This window comes from Homo sapiens, chromosome 14 (assembly GCF_000001405.40).
Source record: "Homo sapiens chromosome 14, GRCh38.p14 Primary Assembly".
Classification (NCBI taxonomy): domain Eukaryota; kingdom Metazoa; phylum Chordata; class Mammalia; order Primates; family Hominidae; genus Homo; species Homo sapiens.
In genome coordinates, this window is record NC_000014.9 from 76,074,274 (window position 1) to 76,091,301 (window position 17,028).

At 48.6% G+C, this 17,028-nt stretch overlaps 1 protein-coding gene and 1 long non-coding RNA gene across 5 annotated transcripts in view, besides 1 other annotated feature; one reads left to right on the plus strand and one right to left on the minus strand.

Annotated features, from left to right (window-relative positions):
- Nucleotides 1-9,800, plus strand: part of IFT43 (intraflagellar transport 43) — a 98,311-nt gene extending 88,511 nt beyond the window's left edge. For 2 of the 4 annotated variants that reach the window (NR_045665.2, NR_045664.2), the window contains 5 exons: nucleotides 8,022-8,094; nucleotides 8,344-8,419; nucleotides 8,954-9,016; nucleotides 9,185-9,363; nucleotides 9,490-9,800. Coding sequence is in view for 2 of the 4 variants with exons in the window: in NM_052873.3 (NP_443105.2) it covers nucleotides 2,324-2,418; nucleotides 8,022-8,094; nucleotides 8,344-8,419; nucleotides 8,954-9,016; nucleotides 9,185-9,304 (427 nt within the window). In the remaining 2 variants the exon portion in view is untranslated. Of the gene's footprint in view, nucleotides 1-2,323; nucleotides 2,419-8,021; nucleotides 8,095-8,343; nucleotides 8,420-8,953; nucleotides 9,017-9,184; nucleotides 9,470-9,489 lie in introns of those variants that run through there. The other 2 variants (NM_052873.3, NM_001102564.3) reach the window with 2 other exon arrangements.
- LOC105370573 (uncharacterized) lies at nucleotides 5,163-6,380 on the minus strand. Its single transcript, XR_007064270.1, has 2 exons — nucleotides 6,289-6,380; nucleotides 5,163-5,948 (listed from the first exon to the last, which is right to left on the minus strand). It is a non-coding gene; the product is annotated as an uncharacterized LOC105370573 (long non-coding RNA).
- Nucleotides 9,611-10,597: an enhancer, noted in NCBI's record as "NANOG-H3K4me1 hESC enhancer chr14:76550227-76551213 (GRCh37/hg19 assembly coordinates)". NCBI's record gives its function as "activates a minimal SCP1, AML or CMV promoter by ChIP-STARR-seq in naive H9 embryonic stem cells {active_cell/tissue: H9 hESC(naive)}" and the evidence as "EXISTENCE:reporter gene assay evidence [ECO:0000049][PMID:30033119]".

Genomic DNA, 17,028 nt, shown 5'->3' on the forward strand with positions numbered 1-17,028 from the left:
CCTCAGCTTCCGTTCCTTCTAGCCACTTTATTTCTTCATCACGTTTAAAGTCCTTTACCCCTCCTTGTCCTTAACACATTTCCACAGATGAAAGCTGGGACCTCCACGAGGCTCTGAGAGAGCTACTGCAGGACTCCGTTCTTCGTTTCCTTCAATTGACAGTATCCAGCGGGCCATACTCCCTAAAGGTCACCTGGGCAGGTGACGCCAGGGTCCTCTTCAGAATGGGGTCATCTGAGACTGCTAGACTCTTCCCTATAGAGAGTCCTCTCAGGGCACTGCCTGACTCTCAGGCCTGCAAGGCTGAGTCCTGGCTGCTGCCACCTTGCATTGCCAATACTGATTCTTGTATAACCTTCAGTGGACCTGGGTGGGATGACAGGAACATTGCTGTCTAGGGGATGACATTCGTGGCTCCTTCAGAAACATGCTAACATCCCTCTGTGGGTAACATAATGAGGTCCAGCATTCATACACCATAGTGTCTCCAGAGCCAAGTCGACGTGCTTGTAAACCCCCTTCTTTGCTGAAGATCCAGCCAGATCACAACTGTGCTGAGGCCTGACTGACCTCAGAAACCAAACTCAGTCCAAACCCCCCTCCCCAACCCATTGTCAGCCAAGAGAGCTGTCACAGCTTAGGGGGCTGTGAGGAGCAGTCAGCTATTTTGATCTTCCTCCTCTTAAGGTCTGTGATCTTTTTTCCCCAGCAGTATCAGGAGAGATTCAGTTTGGAGGAGCATGGAGGCATTTCAACGTATGGGCACCCCAAACTGGCACTGCAGAACAGGGCCTCCTCTCTCTGTCTCCCCATCGCATGCCTCCTCAGGGACCTGCTCCTGCATGGCTCCTGACCATATGCCCCGCTGTGTCTGCAGGGCCACACGCATGCTGCGTATGGTCAGTCCTGTTCCACACCTTTTGCAGCATGGCTCCGTAGCCACTGTCGCAGTTTTCAGACTCTTTTTCTCCTACCTGCCAGTAACGAGCACAGCCCTGGACCCAGCTCTAATCAGGTGAAATCACAAGGGACACATCTTCATAAAGCAGACCTGCTAGAGACCTGAGACGTGTTTGTGCCCCTTTTCCCCTGATTCGAGGAGTGCAGGGGACCGCTCGGGAGCTCCTCTGAGACTGCCTCTTTCCCTTGTTCCTTTGGGTGTTTGAAGCCTGTTGCCTCCTGCTTTCCCTTTTCTTTTCCCTTTTAAAAAATTCTCCATTTTTTGACTTAGAAAAAAATTATTTATACGATTGAGATCCACTAATTAAAGCCATTTTCTGGTATTTGGTTACTGGAGCGTTTGATGTCTCTCTGACAAGACCATGAAATGCATGGAGTGTCCACAGGGACAGAATTTGCTGAACACGGCTCTTTGTAAATGAGGGGACATAGTGTCGCAGCAGCTCATGAATATGAAACGCCCATGATGCCACCTCAGTGGACTTGGGAACACAGATGAATCCTGTCATGTGCTAAATGAGACCAATTTCTTTCACTTAACTTCATCTTCAATCAGACCTTCTTCCATTTGCCTGTTTAAAATTCCCCATACGTGATGCAGAAGGTAACAGCATTCAGTAAAACAAAGTTTTGTAGCTGCAGAGAAAAATTATAATGATCTCTGGTTTTAAGTTGTCATCTCCTAAAAACACGGGCATTGTTTTCTTGCACTTGAGAGCTCTGAATGTCTGTTGACTTTGCACACAGAATCAGGGGTTTGTCTGGACTGCTCTTATTGGGGTGTCCTTAAGCAGCATGTCCAGATCGCTTTCATGTGGATTGGTTGTTGAACTTGGCTGTGTATGGTGGATATGAGCCTTGAGCAGCCTGTGAGTGCTCTGCAGTGGCCAGGGCACTGAGTGGGAAAGAAATTTGGGAAGAGATTGTGTGTAACCAAACGGCATTTGCCTTTGGAAGCTCACTGAGTAAATGGAGTGGGGTGGTGTCATCATTAAGCACCCTGAGGAAGCTGGAAAGCTAAGCCAACCGTTTGTATCATTCGCTCAGATGTCAAGGTGAGAAAGTGCTGGAGTACAGAAGAGACTTTATGTAGTTCTCTAGAAGCCCTTCTGAACATGACCAGGGAATCCTATTCAGAAATCCCCAACCAAGAAAATTAGCAAAGAGTTAAGGGTTACAGAGAGGAAAAAGCTCCCTGCCTGAGGCATCTCTGCCTGGGTGGGACCCAGGGGCCAGATTGGGGTGTCTCCTTTGTTCTCTCCCTGCTGGAGTTAGATTTATACTCCAGGTGAAGAGCTGGGTAGTGCTTGGGGTATACTCATTGCAAGCTGAGTCCAATCTAAGAAGTCACTTTCTGTTCTAGCGGTACCCAAACAGGCAAACAACAGCTGGATCTGAACGCATGCTATCACAAAACGCATCACAGAGATTTGGGGCTGGCTTCATTGGAAGAGGCAGGTAGGCTTTTGACTGTCAGTCTACGGGAACTGAAAAGGATCCTTCTGGGACTTTGCTAGGTAATTAGCATTTTAGTGTGCGCATGTGATGATATTATCCGTAATGAATGTATTTCAGGCCAAATGGCAGTTGCCCTCACATCCAACAGCTCACATCTTTGAAACCAGTTGTAATTGATCTATTGGTATTCTATAAGTTTCTATTTATTTAGGCAGCACCCATTTATTTCTGTGGTATCATCTGCTGAACGATTTTTTGGGTAGATGTGTTGGGTGTCGGCAGAGTAGTGATCTAGTATCAAAATGGGTTTCCCATTTGGCAATCTCTCTTTTTGAAATAGATTTGTACTGCTGTTGCTGTGCGTTAATAAGCCTCTGTTGGGTGGTTCCAGAATGTGGAGATTGGTGAAAAGCAGTGTGACCCAGCCTCAGGTTGGAAGCCAGATGGGCCATACTGGACCAAGTTTGAATGACTCTTCCTCTGAAACTTTGTCTCCACACATCCCTTGTTTCTTGGATATGCACAGGGCTCTCCCAGGGGGCCTTGCAGCTCTGAAGGAAGCCAAAGTCTTTGCTATGATGTTATCAAATCCAGGAAGTAGCCAAGGATTACTCTTATTTGTTCTTGTGAAATGAATCCTACTCAGGCAGCTTTAGGACTCAGTAGCGATTCTAACTGGAACAATGTAGAGAAGTAGAGAAGGTTGACATGGCTCTTCTGTGTGTGTCACTTCCTGACCTGAGGAGCATCTGTTGAATGCAGTTCTATTCAGTTGTTCCTAATTTTTCCAGTCCTTGGAATGCACAGATGCCTGGGATGTGGCATTGCTGTCAGCTAGTTCACCATCCAGGGGGCAGACTTGGGGCAAATTTCATGGATTCTACCTCCTACAAGGTAGTGAGGGCTACCCTGTGGCCACGAATAAAGTATTATGGAAGGATAAAGTAGGAAGCTCTTATTTCTGCTTGTTAGATTCAGAAGTGATCCACTAAGGAAGAGACATGCATTTTCTATCCTGCTTACTCCCTCTGGATTTCCCCCCATCATGCCTTGGAAGGGATCTGGCATAGCCCAACCACAACGTCCCGCCTTCAGTCTCTCCAGTGTTTCCAGTTACTTCTCACCGCCGAGCACCTTTGCACATGTTGTTCCCCGCCTGGCTGAATCCTGATTCTCCTTCAGCTTCAGCTGCCCTGTCCTCAATGCAGAAATACGTATTCTTCCTTCTTTAACTCCTCAACCCTAACCCTACTAACCCTAATCCCACACCCCCAAATTAAATCCTCTCTGGACTAGATTAAATGCATTGTGGAGCAGTGTTCAATAGAATATTAGAAGGTCATTTAAAAGAAGTAAAATACATCTATATGTTGATAAGGAAAGATACAAGCAAGGTGCAGAACAGTGTCTGTGTAGTGTGATCCCATCTGTGAGCATTTTTAAAAGGACATATGTGCTGTGTTATTTGCGAATTCTTTTCAGCAAATAAATATGAAAAAATCGTTAACAGTGATTACTTCTAGGGAGATGACTGGGTCTCACGGAAGGGACATTTTTCATTTTAAACCTTTCTATAGCATTTGAATTTATTACTACCTATAATGTTACTTTTGTTTTAGAAAAATAATTAGGTTTCCCTGTTGCTTTCCATCATGAAATCCAGTTGGTTTCCTTCTTTGTGTGTATTTTAATTTGTAAGCAGTACCTTTCTTTGTGTTTATTAGCCTCCACCAGACTGGTGCCCCATGAAGACAGGGACCATGTCTATTTTATTTGCTGTTGTTACTGGCATGGTACCTTTCACATAGTGGGTGTTCCATCAGTATCCTTGAACAAATGAATGAAAGAATGAATGAACAAGCAGACAGATGGAGTTTCCTCACAGCGTGGCTGACCAGGCCCCACGTGGGACAGAGAAGCAGGTTGAACAGCTGTGAGATAGCCAACGTCAAGGCAGGGAGCAGTGCACAAGGCAAGGAAGGAGTCTTCTGTTTAAGCATCAGAGCTGGGGCAGAGAGCAGTGCGGCCGTGTGACGGTGGCACTGCCTGCCGGGGAAGCTGGGGATACCGGCTCCCATGGTGCCGGGGGTGTCACAGCCCTCTTACCTCACCTTCCCCTCCTCGGGCTTTTCAAGGTGCCTGGCCACCTCCTCCTCCTTGGGGCTAGTTTAATAAGATAGGGTTGGTGGAGGTGGAGTCTCTGGGACTCTGATGTGGTGCCTTTTTTCCATTCTGCCCCATTTAGCCTTGTAGAGAAGTAGCGAGTCAGGGTGTATGGTAAGGGAGAGGACTTAGCATATCTCTAGTTATTGGAATCGAGAGAAAGACCCCAGAAGAGAGGACATTAAGTTTCACAGGACATTACGTGAAAGCTGTCTCGACCATGGGCAGCTGTCTCACCCCTTCACTATAGGAGGAGGCGTCTTTGAAGGCATTTCACTTTTGAGAAGAAAGCCCATGTGGGGCATGGCAGGGCTCAGGCATCGCAGCCACATTGAAGTCCATTACTCATAGATTCACTCCATGCAAGCTGCTTAATCTTGCTTAGCCTCAGTGTTCTCTTCTGAAAATGGCCATCACTGGGCAGGAGAAAATGAAGGTGGAGCCATGTAGTTTCTCTACATATGTAATATTATAATATCGGTGAAGTCCATAAGAATGGTTATTGAATATTATATACTGATCACAGTGCTAGTATTTCATAAAGATCATTGCATTTAATACAGCAACTGACTGGGTGGGCGTGAGTCTGATCTTCATTTTATTGATGAAGAAATTGAGGCATAGAGAGAAAAAGTCACACAACTAGTAGGTCGTGGAGCCGGGATTTGGAGTGGACCCTCCTTCCTCCAGAGCCTGCTTCTTAACCATGGAGCAAGGAGTTCTACATGGCATGCCCCTGACCTCATTGCAGCTGTTCATGTTCTTCTCCGTTTTAGCAACATTGAAGAAAAGGAAAATAAAATAAACATAATTTTTGGATTTTTTAAAATGGTGGTTGCTTTTCAAAAGTACCAGAACCGACTCCTGTCTTCCTTGTATTGTCTCTGTTAAAATCGTGTGCTTTGCATGTCAGACTTTACAACCTGAATCAGGCTACATCACCAGTCCACCTTTGCAGGTCGCCACTGTCTCTTACTGGAGGCAGGCCGGATCACTGCTCATAGGTAATTTTGTGAAGAAGCTAGTTTCCTAAGTCTATTTTCTTTTTTCTGTGTTCGTTCATGGTATACGTGAGAGTGGGGGAGTGGGGAGGGGGGAAGGAGATAAAAAGAAAAAAAAAATTCCCCAGAACATATTATGTGCTCATGAGCACTTGCCTGTGATTGTAAATCAGAAACTGTAAAATTGTGAAGTTCTTTGAAGTTTGCCCAAAACCTGCTCTGCAGACACCTGTTCTGCTGGGGGCCGGAGTTGGATGGCCTGCCTCTGCTGCGATGGCTCAAGCTGTCACTGCACAAGAATGTTCCAGCTTGCCTTGGCCTGGCTGTCATCGCTGGCTCTGTCCCACTCAGGCGGTTCACCGGGTTCTGCTGGGCACCAGGCTTCCAATTAGAGAGAAATCCCACTGTGTGGCCAGCCCCACCAGCGCCGCTCTGAGCAGCCCCTTTGCCAAGGCCCGAGCTGACCTCTGATCTGTCACAGATGGGCCAGCCCCACACTCTTTGTGCACATTTGGAGGAGGGGGTTGGGGACGAAGAGGGAAGCCTGTGGGGAGTGAGAGTGGACATCGGGCAGAAGTGCAATTCCTCAGAGCCCCAAGACGCTGGGCAGAGTTGACAGGACCCAAATGCTAAAGTTGTGGAGGGAAAGGGGAGTTTGGGAAGACCCTGTCCTGAGCCCTAAACTCAGCACAGTGCATTTTCTTACCAACTTCTGAATATTCATCTCAGGCTGGATTCTGCACCCGAGGAGAGCCAGGCACACTCCAAAACTGTCACACTGCCGATGGTGCGTGGCACAGCCAGCTTCCTCTCTGTCCCTCCATAGGGCCTGTGCAGTCTTACCAGCCTGGGGAACGGCATTCTCAGCAGCCTGCACAATGGACTGTATTAATCACGTAGAACGAGAGGGAAAAAGAAAGCTAAATTTCTATTAGCATAAGAAATAGAATCTTAGAGCATTCCATCTCCAATTCTCTAGCAGGATAGAGAGATATAATCTAAGCTCTGAACAGCTTCTTTCTAGCTATAAGACTTGCTAAATGTGGTTCATTATTTGGGGGGTGGTGGATGTGTCTCTGCTTTATTTTCCCTAGCAGCAATTTCTTTCTATTTTTATCCCTTTTCACTCTTTTTATCCCTTGTTTTCTCTGCCTGTCTCTTTCTGTTGAATTTTCTCTGTGTCTGTCTCTCCTTTGCATGCTCTCTTTTTCCAGGTACAACATCTGTGCCTCCACAGTCGGAAGTCATAATAAAGACACCAGGCTTGGAACTGACATTTCCATCCTCTGGCGTCACTTGACTAGAGTGATCAAAAGTCGAAATCACGAATTGCCTGAAAGTGGCAAGGGCCTTCTCAGCTGTTGTTGAAATGATTTGCACCTCTTTGAAAACTAAGATTGAATTCAGTCCATGAAAGCAGAAATGAAAGATGTCTTCACCAGTCTACCTTTGGGATTTCTCCTTCTTTCCGTGTTTACAGTTGCTTTGGGAATTCCAGGACTGTCTCACCCCACCAGGCCTTTTTTCTTGCACCATCCCTCCCTTCTCCCCCACCCCTGACCGTTTAAAACAAAATGTCTCAACCAGTCAGTGATACTCACTTGGAGAAGGAAATGTTTCTTTAGGATGTTAGGTTGACCCATGAGAACATGGACAATTTTTGGTCACTTAAGCAAGTTGCCACAATTAAGGGATGGACTGGTTTCCCAGTTCTCTGTTTGCATGATTTTGTTGGACTGGTGGAAGAAATGGCCTCGTGTCTCCTCGTATGTTGTCTGGAGAGTTCAGAGATGGAAAATCTTGAGACAGCAAGAAAAGCATGATTGTAGAATCAGCATCCCTGATTACATTAGACCTGGCAAATGGACGCCTGGATCCCAGGGAGTCAGGCTATGTCATTAGATGGAAGATGCCCTTGAGATGCAGGCTGAGGGCCCTGATGATTGCACTGCGGGGCTAATGCACATAGAGATCTGGGTCATGAGGAGTGGCACTCACTGCGGCATCCGCTTTGTGACACTACATGTTCTCAGTTCCTCTGTCTCTGACCATGCCAGGCTCACTTGTCAGTTCCTCTTCTTTCCTCTAATAAGCCCTTTGTTACATTTATTTCTTTACATTTCTCCTTGGAGATCCACTGCAGTGGCTTCTAACCTGTTGCACGCGTCAGAATCACCAAGGAACGCCTGGGAAAAAAATCTGGATGCTTGAGCGTGACCCAGGAGGTTCTATCTCAGCAGGTTCTGGAATGAGGCCTGGGATTCAGACATCGTTGAAACTCCACCTTTGATCCTACCCCTAGTTTGTATCTGAGTGTCCTTCCTGCCCCAGCCCACAGCCCCATGGCTGGTGTGTTGAAGGGGAATGAGTAAGAAGTGGAGAAGCAGGCACAATCCCTATGAGTTCTGCAGACAGTGTTGCCTCTGCCTCTCCTTGCAGATATTCCTATCATTCCGGATCTGGAGGAAGTACAGGAAGAAGACTTTGTTTTGCAGGTGGCAGCCCCTCCCAGGTAGGTTAAATCAGATATGATTGGGGAGGCAAAGAACACGTGAATTAATACACTCCAGATATCATCTATAGTGGACCTTGATGTCAATCTGGATCTTTCTGGTGTTGGGCTCCATCCAGGGTTCCCATTTTGTTATTCCCATTCTGGTCATCCCCTGCTGTATACAAGGTTCTGGGGACGGTGGCCCGGCAGCACTCCTGGAACAGGTCCTGCCTGGGGTTCCCGCCTCTCGCTCTCTCTTTCCTTCAGCATCCAGATAAAGCGGGTGATGACCTACCGTGACCTGGACAATGACCTCATGAAGTACTCAGCCATTCAGACACTGGTGAGTGGAACAGCTTCTGCATAGAGAGGCGGGCTCCAAGCAATGGGCTTCAATCCGTAGAGATTTCTCAGTTCCTCCCAAGCTATACAGCGCCTCCACCAGTCCCCTGAGGCTGCCTGCCTGGCACCCATACCTCTGCTGCAGGTTTTATCATCATTCATCTCACAGCAACCCTGGACCCAACATAGTACAGTGTTTCTCAGTGCCAGGCTCCCACCTGCCTCCATGGCTGCCCACTTGGCACCTGATGGCACCCCACTCCCCTCTGTCCCTGTGGCTGTACTGCTGTCACACTCGGTCCTCCTGGTATGGTCCTTTGCCCCAAAGCACGCCCAGCATGTGGGAAGCATAGCCTTCCCTCATTTCTCAGTGGGCATGTGGTTCATTCATGATTTTACTCTCTTGTGAAGGCATTCCTGCAGGTCTCAGTTTGGGAAGTTCTGACACACAAAAACTGATCCCGGTTTTGTGAGAAAGAGTTGCCTGAAAGCCCTCAAGGTGCTCAGCCTGACCTTTTTTTGTTTGCATTCACAGGATGGGGAGATCGACCTGAAACTCCTCACCAAAGTGCTCGCGCCGGAGCACGAAGTCCGGGAGGTACAGTGGTGGCAGCAATTCCCCGGTCTCTCAGCTCTGGCATTCCCATAACCAGCCGACTCCCGGGCTGGCCTGTGCCTCCCTGAGGCCTGGATGGGAGGGAGAAGTCAGCTACAGTTGAGGGAAAAGGCCTTTCTTTGTCTTACCCAGCGAAACCCTTCTTGGCAGGATGATGTCGGCTGGGACTGGGACCATCTGTTCACTGAGGTGTCCTCAGAGGTCCTCACTGAGTGGGACCCACTGCAGACGGAGAAGGAGGACCCTGCGGGGCAGGCCAGGCACACCTGAGCCCGTCACCCATGCTCTAGACATGAAGAAATGCAATGAGCTTAAAGCTAAAGAAGCTTGTAAGCAGCTCCGAATTTTTACCTGGAATATTTTGTAATAAAAATATTTATATTCAGTCAACCACATTGGATAATTCAATTGCAATAAATTGCTTATTCTGTGCCATCTCCTCCATTTCTTTCCAGTCTCTTCTTGGAAAATGTATCACAAGTGAAGGAGAACAGCTTTTAAACCAGCTGATAGGAACTCAGAACTCGCGGCCTTGTTGCGGAGCATGTGGGAGAGTTCGATTCAGGCGGAGAAGGAGTGGGCACTCCTACTGAAAGCTGTTCACTTCTCGGGAGGTTTCAAACAGTTGCCTGCTGGGGTTCTGGGGCGGGGCCTCCCTTCCCGTGGGTGCTCTGGGCCCTTTGTGACCTTAGTGACGCAGCACTGCCACCTGCATCATAGGCTTCCAGGCAGCTGCAGCGGAGGGAGGAGGCGGCGGGAGGGATAAGGAGACTCATTCTTCACTCGCATCAGGGTTTGGTGGCTGTTGTGACAATATTCTCCTTTCTCCCCTCTTCCTGCAGTCCATGCCTTGAGCTCCAAAAGCTTCTACAGGTTCCCAGAGCCTCATTTCTGATTCTCATGGGAAGGGGCCAGCCAGCAGCCCTGAGAATTCCATGGAAGCCCTCTCTTACAGAGCCTGGGCCTCCCTTCTCCTTATCCTTTTAGATACGTTGCAGCCATCTCCACCGCTGCAAGTATTATAACCGCCTGGTTCCAAGATGTGCTGAGATCAGGAGCAGAGTCCCACCCTTCTCCTAAACAGAGCTGTCTTTTGTTTTTGTTTTTCTCTTTTCCTCCCTGAGACTTCTTATCTGAGGACAGAGCCCCTTCGCTGCCTGCTTCTCTTGGATGCGGCTTTGGGTTAGGCTGGCAGCAGCTAACTAAGGCCCACTCCCCGGCCATAGGGAGCGCTGAGTGCTTCTGTTATCCTGCCTGGAAAGCCCTTCATTAAAATTCAGAAAAACAAAGAGGCTCAACACATCAAAAACCCACTGGGGGGTTATTTTTGTGTGACTACGGTGCCCTTCCCCGGCGAGCCACATGGCTCCAGAACAGGCAGAGCGAATGCTTGTCTGTTAATTATAAACTCGGGGATTTAGTGGCTTTAGGGTTCCATTTCCTCCTTTTCCAGAGTCACACTTTTAGCCCAGGCAGCCCCTCTTTGGAATAATTCCCATGGCCACTGAAAAGTTTCCATCCAGGCTAGTTTTGCTTGAGTCTACATCAGTCTGAAACCCAAAGGAGAAAGGCTGTATTTCTACTCCCTTAATTACTGGAAATCCAACTGCCTCAGGACTCTGATAACCTTGGAGGTCTCCAGCCAGCCTGAGCAAGTGGCTAGGGGCTGACTTCCTTTCTCCCTTTATTTTACAACAGCAGCAACAAGATCTAACATGGAGCTCTCACTGCATGCCAGGTGCTGGGTTCAGCACACAGGAATGATCAGATTTCATCCTCACAGCCTCCCAGTAAAGCAGATGCTGTGGTTATCCCATTTTACAGATGAGGAAACAGACTCAGAGAGGTTAAGAGATCGCCCAAGATTATCCAGCTGAGTGGCAGAGCTGGAATTCCAAGTTCTGATGCCACAGCGCTTTACCACCTGTGTTTCTGTTACCCACTGCTGCCTTCATCTTGGGAAAGTAATCTAGTTTATAGCAGACAGAATTTACAAGTTCACTGGGAGAAAGAAGTCCACTGCCACCACCCCTCCCCGTCCCCACTCTTGTCTGTGGAGTGACCACAGAGCAGAGGGCTTCTGTCAGTCCCCTGGTGTGAAGCCTGGCAACATAGGTGAGCTCAAGAGTCCTGGCCCCAGGGCAGTGGGACTGGGTAGGAGCAGCTCTACGTTGAGCAAACTGAGCTCAGCCAAATCAGGTCCAGGCCACATGTGACTGAGTCTCCTTTCACTTGTCCTGTGCCCTGATCATGTCCTGTCTGGGCTTCTTCCTTTACCCAGCATTTGCTCATCATGGCTTCAGGGTGCCAGAGGAATGGGATGTTGCAGAATCTATGACCGCCCAGTTCTCATCTGACATGGAAAATACCTTCCTTAGGTTACATCCAACGGTGTCATATACTTGACTTCAGAGAGCCTTTCAGGAACATGGCCCAAGAGGGCAGTGACAGAATCAATAAGCATCCACAGGTAGCAGCAATATGGTTTTGTGCAGGTGTGGGGGAGCATGAAGTGAAGAATCTTGGTGCTGCCATTTCTAGTAATACATGGCTTGTTAACCAGTTCCTTACCAGTTTCTCTTAGACGGGCTCAAGTCACTTCTGAGCAGGCTTGGGTAGCCCAGCTGGTCTCTGACAAAATCTCCCCTGGTGTCTTTGGCATTAGGTGGTCACGGCAGAGATGCCGTTCATAGGCCGGGCTGTGATGGGGAAGTTCATTACTTTGTGGAATAATTGATTGCCACTTCCCTCAGGCCAGGCTCTGGTCTAGACACTCCAGATACAGAACTAGACAGGCAAAACTCCCTTCCCTTATAGAGCTTACATTCTGGAAGGGGAGATGGACAAATAAAGTAAAATAGATAGTGTCTCAAGTGGTAAGAGATACTATAGAGAAAAATGAAGCCGGCACAGGGAAGGGAGTGCTGGGGAGGGGGGTCGTGATTTTTTAATAGGGCAATCGGGAGGCCTCCCTGAGAAGGGAGCATTTGGGCACACAACTGACAAGGTGAAGGAAGGAGTGAGACTGGTGCCCAGGGAACAGTGCTCTCAGTAGCAGGAACAGTATTTGCAAAAACCAGGAGGAAGGCATGTGCCTGACCTGTTGGAGGAGTGGCTGGAAGTCAAGGTGCCCGGGGTGGGGGTGACAACGAAAGAGAAGGTTCTCTGGCTCGCTGTGCCCAAGGCCCGGCTTGTCACAGGAAAGGCCTCTGGGTGTCTGGGGTCCTCTCCCTCCTGTGATGACAGCATTCTCAGGCTTCCTTGGGCTTGACAGGCACACTATGGAAAACTTCCCTCAAACTACTGCATGGCCTCTTCATGCCTTGGCCTGGAAGAGGCAGAACTATTGATGCTACATTGCAGGAGAGAACAATGAGCTCTGTCTGTCAGAGACCAGAGGCTGGGAGGCTGCTGCCAGCTCCCCACCAGGAAGGAGGGTGTGCCCACTGCACCAGACAGTCAGAGAGGCACTATAAGGCCCCTGCACGGAGTGCTCCCTGGGAACTCGGCTCCCAGTGAAGAGCTCAAGCCAGAAATTCATCCAGGCAGGCCGGCAGCTGAAGCTTAGGTCATCTCTATCCTTGACTGGTGGTTCATCTTTGCTAAACCCCACGACACTCCAGATGGGCATTTATAACTACATGCTCTCACTGGAAACATGCCACCACCTGTTCAGTGTTGCTTGATCAAAATGTGTTACTGGCACAAATCAAGGCCTTCCTGCTTAGTAGGTAAGGGCGCTTCTGGGCTCATTGCTGCCAGAGACCTGCATGCAAAGTGCTGTTTACTGCAGAGAGATGTGGAAGCGTAGACTCTGCCTTGCTTGACCAAGCAGCACCATGCTTTTCTCCTTCAGGTCAAAGAGTCAATGGGGAAAAGGGTAGGTAGAGGGAATAGGAGTAAATAACAGTGGCAAAGAGCACAGGTTCTAGAATCAGGCAGAATGGGGCTCCAGTCCCAGCTCTGCCTTGTAGCTCTGGGCCCTGGAGCAAGCTGCTTTCCCTTTCTGATCCTGTTTTCTAATCTGGAAAATGGGATGATATTAATATTGTCTTCTTGGGATTGTGGCGCCCAGTAAAAGCCAGCTGCTGTTATTGGATTTGAGAACTGGATAAGATTGAAAAGTTAACGTAGGAAAAGTGACAGTTTATGGCAACAGTGCCTGCAGTTTGCTAGGGGGTATCACCTTCATCTCCCCTCATGAATCACTTCTCAGCCATGGATGGAAAGATGGCTTGGCACCAGGTTTTGTTTTGTTTTGTTATTTGTAACAGCTTTATTTAGATAAAAGTTGTGTGCCGTAAAATTAAGAGTACACAATTGAAGTTGTACAATTCAGTGATTTTTAGGAAATATATGAGTTTCTGCAGCCATCACCATAATCCTGTTCTAGAACATTTTCCTCATCCTACAGAATTCCCTTGTGTCCATTTACAGTTAATTCCTGCTTTCATCCCCAGCCTTGGGCAACTGCTCTCCGGCCCCATCAGTTTGCTGATTCTGGACAGTCCTGAGTAGCTGGGATTACAGGCGTGTGCCACCATGCCCGGCTAATTTTTGTATTTTCAGTAGAGACAGGGTTTCACCATGTTGGCCAGGCTGGTCTCGAACTCCTGAGCTCAAGTGATTCGCCTGCCTCGGCCCCACAAAGTGCTGGGATTACAGGTGTGAGCACTGTGCCCGGCTGCACAGATGTTTTCATTCCACCTAGGTAGATTCCTAGGAATTAAATTGCTGGATCATATGGTATGTTTACGTTTAACTTTTAAGAAACTGCCAAACTGTTTTTCAGGGCCTCAGTTCTTTAGGATATCAGGGTTAAGTAAGTACTTTTTTCTTGTTTCCTGTCCTTAATTTTTTCAAAGGCTGCTGTTGAGTTTGTGGGAGGCATATTCTTCTGATTCCTCCCTCCCTGCCTTCTTCCTATCATTGAGTTTATCTCTGCTTTGAGAACATAGGCCTCATCTGTCTGTATTCCCCACTAGCCTGTAAGCTCTTCCAGTCCAAGACTAGGTGTTGATCGCATTTCTATCCAACTGCATGCCTATTCCAGGAGTTCAAAGTCAAATAAAGCACACTCCTGACCTCTAGAAACTCACAAGCTAGCAAATAAATAGTGTGTGAGTGAAGGAGCCCATATGATCTGCAAAATACAGATGGGAGGAGAGAGAGAGGGATACTTCGCCCACCAAGAAATAACAGAGGTGGGGCTGATTTGCTTTGAGCGAAGGCCACTTGGTTCTTGTAAAGTTTTACAGGAACACAGCCATGCTCATTTGTTTACGTGCTCATTTGTTTACAACAGCTCATTTGTCGATGGCTGCCTTTATGCTACAAGGGGCAGAACTTAGTTGTGACAGAGATCGTCTGGCCTACAACGCCTAAAATATTAGCTATCTGCCGCTTTGCAGAAAAATGTTGCCAACCCCTCCTTAGAGGAGAGAATGAAGATGAGAAATAACAAACCTGCGTGCTCTCAAAGTTCAGCTGCTTGTTTCTATCCAGGAAATTCATTGCAGCAGGAGTGATTTGAGTTAAATGTAAGGAAAGACTAGAAGGGTGGGGAGATTCTGGCCCCTAAAGGAGAGACAACCTTTCTTTAAGAAAAGGAAACGAGCACTCATCAGTTCCAGGAACAGGGACATGATCTATCTGGAGACAAAAAAGCTGGAAAGGGGGACATCTGGCTCCTTCTTGGCCCTTTGATCCTACTTGGGATGTGGGGGTGAGGAAGTCTCTAGGAGCCAAATGCCTTTGTCAGCGGGCTCAGGATATTGAAGAGAAGGCCCAGTGGAGTGGGTGTTAGAAGCAAGGGAAGGGGAAAATGTTGATTTTTCTTTTGGCAAGGCAGAAATCAGAAAGCAAGGGTGGTGGGAGCAGAACGAGGAAGAAGCCGTTCTTCTGTGGCTGTGCCGGAGTGAATTAATTCACGGCATATGTTCCTAGCATCTGTCGTGGTGACCTGGACTGGAGGGGTCAGTGAGAGAGGAGACCATGCCAGGACTGAGCATTAGCCCAGAATTCCCAGGCTGCAGGGGCTCTTGGCTCCCACCGAACGCTGGCTGGCCAGCCCACCCAGGAACAGCTGCTGCAGCTGCAGCCACCAGCGCTGCCTCGGGGAGGAGGGAGAGCATCCCCTTCCTGTGCTCCCCACAAGAAAACACCTGGCCAAGGAGGGGCTGGGAGAAGACCAGAAAGAATCCTGCAGAACGCTATCTCTTCCAGACCTTTAGCGGCGGTAGATTCCACCCAGCAGCCACACGTCCGCCAGCAGACTGCAGGTGTGTCCCCAAAGGACAGCACAGGAGGGGTGAGAGAGCCACAGCCCTGAATGGAGAATGAACAAGAATTTGGGGACTTCCTCTTAAGTGTCAGTCCCAGAATTTCCCTGGATGCTATGTGGGCTGCGTGGTGCTGAAGTGTCCCTTGTGAGTTGATGGTCAGCCCAGAGGAAGCAAGGCAGGCAGGCGTGGTGGCTGAGAATGGGATGATGCCAGGTTCACATCTGTGCTCTTCCACGTCGCAGCTGTACGACCTTGGGTATGTTCTCATAACTCCTTGAGCCTCAGTTTTCTCATCTGTGGAGTGACGCTGAAAATCATTCCTGAATCACAGGGCTATTGTGATGATTAAATGAGCTGATGCTTGTTGAGCTGATGCTTGTTAAGTGTCTGGCACAAAGTAAGCCCTCAATGAAGATTAGTTCTGATCACATTGAATGGGCAGGCAGTGGTCACTTGTTGTGCCTGATCATAAATCACAGGGCATTAGGACCTGACCGGACCTGAGTGGGCATCTACCCCAAGGTCACAAACTGGAGGCCATAGGCTGATGCTGACTCACAGGACATGTTGGGTTTGGCTCATGCACTGTTTTTAATTGTTTTGTTAATTATCAACATTTAAAACTGAAAGGTTTAGACTTCCAGCTTCTCTTGGAAAATAACTGCTTGCTCCCAAAGTTCAGCTGCTTATTTCTATCCAGAAAATTAATTGCAGCTTCCAGCTTCTCTTAGAAAATGGGAGGATCGGCCGTGCATGGTGGCTCATGCCTGTAATCCCAGCACTTCGGGAGGGTGAGGTGGGCAGATCACGAGGCCAGGAGATCGAGACCATCCTGGCTAACACGGTGAAACCCCATTTCTACTAAAAATACAAAAATTAGCTGGGCGTGGTGGCACGCGCCTGTAGTCCCAGCTACTCGGGAGTCTGAGGCAGAAGAATTGCTAGAACCTGGGTGGTGGAGGTTGCAATGAGTTAAGATCGCACCACTGCACTCCAGCCTGGGCAACAGGGTGAGACTCCGTCTCAAAAAAATAAAAATAAAAAATAAAAAAAGAAAGAAAAAGAAAAAGAAAGAAAATGGGAGGATCTGGCTACTCTGGAGCTGCTGTTCTTAGAGCAGCTATTGACTGGAGCTGAGAAGCAACAGCTTTTAATGAGTAGCAGGTGATCAGCCCACGTGCTTCCGCGGACGCATTCCTGCCTGGCCACGCAGGCATTCACTTTAAGAGCCCTGCCCAATCTTCTCATTTTACCAGTGAGGATTCTGTCCCCCAACGACACTTATCCAACCAAGGTCATGTTCCTGAGCCTGGACCCTGGTTACTAACAAAAGCCAGCATCCTTTGTCAGTAACCAGGGCCCTTGCCTGCCATCTAACCTCACATCATGCAAGCTGTGGAGAAGGCCCAGTTTCCCTACCACGGGTTCTCCTCCTCTGATCAGTCTAACTCTGTGTCTGGCACACATCTGACAAGAGTTGAAGCAGAGTCCTAGGCTATTTCCAGGACCAGTAACAGGACCCTTTGCCAGGTGCCCAACGTGGATGGTGTCTGTCCTGTGCTCAGCTGTCACAGGAAAAGGTGGGAGGTTTGCCTTCTTCCTTCTCCGGCCTCCGCCGGTGTAGGCATTATAAAGAGGCCTCGGGGGCCACCTAGCAGCCAGCAGCGTCTCTACACAGGCCACTCCGTGTCCAGGCTGAGACCATGTGCT